The following is a 6,151-nucleotide window of genomic DNA, read 5'->3' on the forward strand; positions in this document are numbered from 1 at the left end:
AAAAAGTGAAACACTAAGTCAAAGAGTGTTTGCATTTGGAATTTTGAGAAATAATGCCAAAATATATTCCATACAGGTAATACAAATATACATACGCATAGAATTACCTGTTTCCCACACCTTTTATTAATCAGATCGGTGAAAAACATTCTCTCAGTGTTGCTTTAATTTGCATTTATCTTATCTTATGAAATGGTAGGCACTTTTCCATAAGCTTAAAATTACTGATTTTCCTTTATTGGGTATTACTCTCCTCTGTTCAAGTTTCTATTTGATTGCCAGTCTTTTCTTATTTATATGATTGATTTTTAAATTGGGATATTAGCTGTGTGGGAATGCATTAACTCAGCAAGCCTGAATTGCCAAAGCCTTCAGCATCCCCCAAAAGGGCTTATTTTCATGAATAAGCCTTGGCCAGCTTGTGGTAACTGAGCTCTTGAAATATCTGAACTGGCAAATGTGTTCTGTATGCTCAGATCTTGAACCATGTTGTACTAGTCTGTTTAGATAGTTTGCGCAAACAGTGTGACTGAAGGTGAACACCTGCTTTCCTTTGAAGGCTCTGGAACTTCAGTAATTGTGGTCAGTCACACAGGTCCTATGCCTAAGAGATAAGCCCCCAATAAAAGCCCCAGAGTCCTGGGCTCAGGTGTCCAGGTAGACAACACTGGCCACCTGACAGTATGTCAGAAGAGACAGAGCAAGCATCCAAACCAGACTCAAATATGGCAGGGATGTTGGAATTATCAGCCCGGGAATTGAAAACAACTATGATTAATATGCTAAGAGTGCTAATGAAAAATGTGGATAACAAGGAAGAACAGATCAGAAATATAAGTGGTGAGATGGAAACTCAAAGAATCGAAGTGTTCCAATGAAAAATAAAGTGTCAGAAATGAAGAATGCTTTTGATGGGCTCACCCAGTAGACTGGCATGAGCTTGAAAATATATCAACAGAGCAGGCCGGGGTGGCTCACGCCTGTAATCCCAGCACTTTTGGAACCAAGGTGGGCAGATCACTTGAGGTCAGGAGTTCGACACTACCCTGGCCAACATGGCGAAACCTCATCTCTACTAAAAATACAAAAATTAGCCGGGCGGGGTGGTGTACGCTTGTAATCCCAGTTACTTGGGAGGCTGAGGCTGCAGTGAGCTGAGATTGCACCATTGCATTCCAGCCTGGGCAACAGAGCAAGATTCCGTCTCAAAAAACAAAAAAACAAACAAACAAAAAGACATTGAAAACAGGAACAATAATAAAAATGGCAAAACCAAAAACTGATTCGCTGAAGAGATTAATAACATTAATAAATCTCTAGACATACTAACCACAAAAAAAAAGAGAGTATACATACATTACTAAAATCAGAAAATAAAGAGGGGTCATCACTACTGATCCCACAGACATTAAAAGGATAATAAAGAAGCTCGGCATGGTGGCTCATGCCTGTAATCCCAGCACTTTGGGAGGCCAAGGCAGGTGGATTGCTTGAGGTCAAGAGTTCGGGACCAGCCTGGCCAACATGGTGAAACCCTGTCTCTACTAAAAATACAAAAAATTAGCTGGGCATGGTGGTGGGCACCTGTAATCCCAGCTACTCGGGAGGCTGAGGCAGGAGAATCACTTGAATCTGGGAAGTGGGGGTTGCAATGAGTCGAGACTGCACCACTGCACTCCAAGCCTGGGTGACAAAGTGACACTCAGTCTTAAAAAAAAAAAAGAAAAAAAGTGTGAAGTTATTGCTACACCACACAGCAATCCCCAACCGTTTTGGCACCAGGGACTGGTTTTGTGGAAGACAATTTTTCCATGGACTGTTGGGTGGGGGTTGGTTTCAAGGATGAAACTGTTCCACCTCAGATCATTAGGCATTAGATTGTCATAAGGAGCATGCAACCTAGATCCCTCAAATGTGCAGTTCACAATGGGGTTTGCTCTCCTATGAGAATCTAATGCCACCGCTGATCTGACAGGAGGTGGAGCTCAGGCAGTCATCCTCACTCACCCCACTGCACCTCCTGCCATGGAGCCCTGTTCCTAGCAGGCACATATTGGTACTCGTCCACCATGTGGGGGTTGGGGACCTCTGCCATAACAAACACATCCAAGATGCCACACAGCAAGAGAAAAGGATAACCAATCCCACCTTGTGTAAGTGGGTGGGGGCTGTGGACACAGAGGGGATAGTGAAGCAGACAAGACTGCACAGCCTTACTGATTCCCTCAACAAACATGCACTGTCCACTGTGCTCTAGGTGTCCGGGAACAAATCAGACACAGAGCCCTATGCCTGTAAAATGTGCCTTTTAAAGGGGGAGACAAGAAAGGAACTATAAAGAATTGAAATACATAGCATGTGTGGAGACAGTGCCTGAGTTTAATATTAAAACGTGAGCTTCCTCAGGCAGGAGAAAGGGAAAGAACTATGTAGGCACAAGATGTGTCACAGCAGAGCTAGGGAATGTGGTCCCACCGTGTTCAGGGAACCCACAGCTGTTTCCATACGCTTGCCATCCTTGGTTTGACCTCTAGGGGGCTACAGACTCAGCAGCTAAGGTCAGCCATGTGGGCTCTGCTTGCTTATGTGACCCACCCCCAATAAAAATGCTGGTCACCAAGGCTCAGCCGAGTGGCCCTGGGGGGAGTGGAGGGTAATACTTTGCACATGTTGTCATATACTGTTACTGAGAGAATTAACTGCATCCCCAGGTGACTCCACTAGGAAGGAACATTTGGACATGCGTGCCTAGCTTCTCCTAGACTTTGCTCTAAGCACCTTTTCCCTTTGGTGATTTTAATCTGTATCCTTTCACTGTAATAAACTATTAACAGTGAGGATAACAGCTTTTTTTTTTTAAGTTCTGTGAATCCTTTGAGCAAATCATTATGCCAAAAGGTGGTCTTGGGGAATCCCCCAAACAATATGAAAGTATACCAGGCATCTAGTAAGCATCTACAGACAGTCACTGCCAAGTGCTGAGAAACCATTTGAAAGTTTTGAGATACCCAAACAATGCTACTATTTGTATCAATCTCTGATCTCTCTTTCCTTAGTAGGACTGAGGTGAAAAAATGATTAAAAACAAGCTCTTTCTTTCATCACAAACTGAGGCATATCTGGTTTGATGGCAATATTTAAGTAAATTTCCAAGAGATCCCGTTAGCCAGTAGATAATACTAAAATAGAATGTTTAAACAGTAACTGAAACAAATTGACGATAATCAGATAGGAAACAGTAAAATACACAGTGGAGATCTCATAATTGAAGGCATACCTTTATTTCCTTTATACTGGGAAGTGGTGCATTTAGAAATTCCTCCGTTAATCTCTTCCAACTAGCAGCTTTGCTTAGATCAGAATGAATGACAAATTTTTCATAAATTCTAAAATATAAGAAAAGATTATAAAGCTATCTTAAAAAGATCTATAAGAAAATACATATATTTCTGGATGCGTATATATACACACTGACTTACCCTTCGATTGTTTTTTCTATTTTGTGGCTGTTGACATCCAAGAAACGATGAAATCTATTAAAGACAAAATGCAATTCTTATGCCAACTCTGTCACACAGGTAAGTGAACTCATCTCATGGCCCTCCATATCCCCCATATGCTCTGTACTCAGCTACACATTTCCAGAATGGAGTGTACCTTGTCCTCCGTTACCTCCACCATCAGGCAGGCAAATAATCACCGTGTCCGAGACTGTGCAAGCATCCTTTCTCCAGCACACAGGTTCTTCCTGACCCTCCCAACCTTGTCCTCTGGCTCCTCTGTCTTCCCATAAGCCCCTGTACCTAAGTCCAGCTGAACACATTCTACATCAGGTGGTCCCAACCTTTTTATGCCATAGTGAGGCCCGGTGAAGCCTAAGGACCCCTTCTCTGAATAACATTTTTAAAGCCAAAAAATAAATACAAAGGAATCCCATTATACTGAGATACAGTTGTCAAATATTTAAAGAAGTTTAAGATATGGCAAGAAATGTTATTTATGAAAGTATTAAATAACAAGATTTAGCAGTAGGTCCAATTAACTACCATTAAAGTAACAGTAAACAACATTTACAAATATCTACAACTCTGATGTGAAAACAGTATGCGATTTCTACTGGTGATAAAGTCATAGGTAGGCTAATACTGCTATGGTTTGCTGCCTTCATTCATAATAGAAGGAGATGCTACTTTTCAGTTAGAGAAAAGTGAGCTTGCTCAGTGCAAGCTCCGCCTCCTGGGTTCGCGCCATTCTCCTGCCTCAGCCTCCCAAGTAGCTGGGACTACAGGCGCCTGCCACCACGCCCGGCTAATTTTTTGTACTTTTAGTAGAGACCGGGTTTCACCGTGTTAGCCAGGATAGTCTCGATCTCCTGACCTCGTGATCCACCCACCTCGGCCTCCTAAAGTGCTGGGATTACAGGCGTGAGCCACCGCGCCCAGTCCACAATTTTCAAGAATGTAAACATGAACTATTCATTTTTCTGATGGTTTAAAGCATCATAAAATTACAGCACAGCCTATGCAACTAATGTATATGTACATAGCATAGCCTATGCAAAAAATGTTTTCCATTTTTTAGTATCAAAGCGAGCAATCTGTACTTAAATAAAATTACACTACTGAAAAACACATGATTCTAGGCCAGTAAATGGGTGAATGGAACACCACTTTACCTATTATAATTTAGTTCCTGAAATCTGTGAATGAAAATAGTAACCTCCAACGTCTCTCCCAGCTCTAAAATGATGACAATCTGCCTACTGTCATTTAGAAATATTAGTAGAAAAATAACTTGGATTTCAGCATTTAAGTTTCTGTATTGTATAACCTATTTCACACATTGTTTATTTTTATAAGTTACACTTAAGAATTCAGTTTATTACTTCAGAAACTTGGCATGGTTTAAAAGAATCTGAAAGCCCCGTATTCCTATTATAAGCCAACTAGACACTTTATGGCTATGATCATTAAGGTAACTAAGATTACGGATTTTGAAAAACTGTTCATTATTCAAGAAGATTTTTACTGAAATTAAACAGGTAGAATATTAACATTAACATTTTTTTAGTAATAATTTCATTATGGGTAATGACTCTAAAAGTATTAATTTACATCTCCCATAAAGAAAAATAGGAGATCTCACTTTACGTAAATATCTAAATTCTGTAAGTCTTTAAAAATTAGTTACAAGAGAAACTGCATTAGAAATTGTATTAGGTGACTCAGCGTGCTACGTGCCAGGAGCTGTGCAGAGATGCAGCATTCTAGCTGGAGTGGAAGTGGAGGAGACAGTAATGACAGGTTAAATCAGTGTCATGACACGCGTTTTGGAAAAAGGAGAGCAGGGTGAGAGATCTTACACTGGGCTGACCAGGGAGCAGGAGTCAGTGAGAATACAATCTCTTTAATTTAAAAAAAAAAAAAATTATAAACATGGAGTTGCTACGTTGCCCAAGCTGGCCTGGAGTCCCGCCTGGGCCTCCCAGAGCGCTGGGGTTGCAGGCGCGCGCGCCGGCCGGCAAGAAACCCAGTTCACGCTTTCCCCGTGACGATCAGGACGCGTCCCGGGTAACACGCCCTGTGGTGCGCAGGGCACCGCGCCGAGAGCGCTGGCCGGCGGGGAGCAGGCGGTGGCAGGGCCTGCGAAGGCTCCCTGAGGCCGCGCCCGCCTCCGCCCCATGCCCTGCCCCAGCGCGCCCCGACCCCGGGCTGTGCGGGACCCACGCGCGGGCTCCGGGCTGTGGCCGGGAACCCGCCCGCGCGCCGTGCCCCACACCTGAAGTTGGACCAGGCGAAGTTTAGGGCGAGCTGGAAGTTGGGGTCTGCCTCGTCCTGGAGGCCGGCGACACCCCGGACGAGCTCCCGCACGTCGCGCTCCTGCTGCGCGTCCAACCGACTCCACGGTGGCCCGTGCCGCGCCATGTTCCGCGCTCCTGCAGCGCGCGTCTAACGAATTGGTGCCTGTCGCGCGAGAGCTCGGGCTCCTGCCGCAGTCGCCTCCGGAGCTGGCGGCATTCTCGCGAGAGTTCGCGCTCCCGCGCCGGGCGACTTCCAAGCCGACCGCTATTCTCGCGACAGTTCGAGCTCCGGCTGTGGAGGGTACTGCCTGGCGCTGTCCCGTGGTGGGGACTGGAGTGCGCATTTTCTGG

The 6,151-nt window shown here is 44.4% G+C and overlaps 1 protein-coding gene across 16 annotated transcripts in view; it reads right to left on the reverse strand.

Annotated features, from left to right (window-relative positions):
• TUBGCP5 (tubulin gamma complex component 5) overlaps positions 1–5,950 on the reverse strand; it is a 56,545-nt gene extending 50,595 nt beyond the window's left edge. For 13 of the 16 annotated variants that reach the window (NR_148875.2, XR_007064420.1, NM_001354374.2 and 10 more), the window contains exons 1-3: positions 5,779–5,950; positions 3,480–3,533; positions 3,278–3,386 (exon numbers count right to left, since the gene is read on the reverse strand). Coding sequence is in view for 11 of the 16 variants with exons in the window: in NM_001354374.2 (NP_001341303.1) it covers positions 3,278–3,386; positions 3,480–3,533; positions 5,779–5,924 (309 nt within the window). In the remaining 5 variants the exon portion in view is untranslated. Of the gene's footprint in view, positions 1–3,277; positions 3,387–3,479; positions 3,534–5,362; positions 5,558–5,778 lie in introns of those variants that run through there. The other 3 variants (XM_047432130.1, XM_017021895.2, XM_047432131.1) reach the window with 3 other exon arrangements.
• Positions 5,951–6,151: the final 201 nt, after the last annotated feature.

The sequence above is a fragment of the Homo sapiens genome, chromosome 15 (assembly GCF_000001405.40).
Source record: "Homo sapiens chromosome 15, GRCh38.p14 Primary Assembly".
In the NCBI taxonomy this organism is placed as follows: domain Eukaryota; kingdom Metazoa; phylum Chordata; class Mammalia; order Primates; family Hominidae; genus Homo; species Homo sapiens.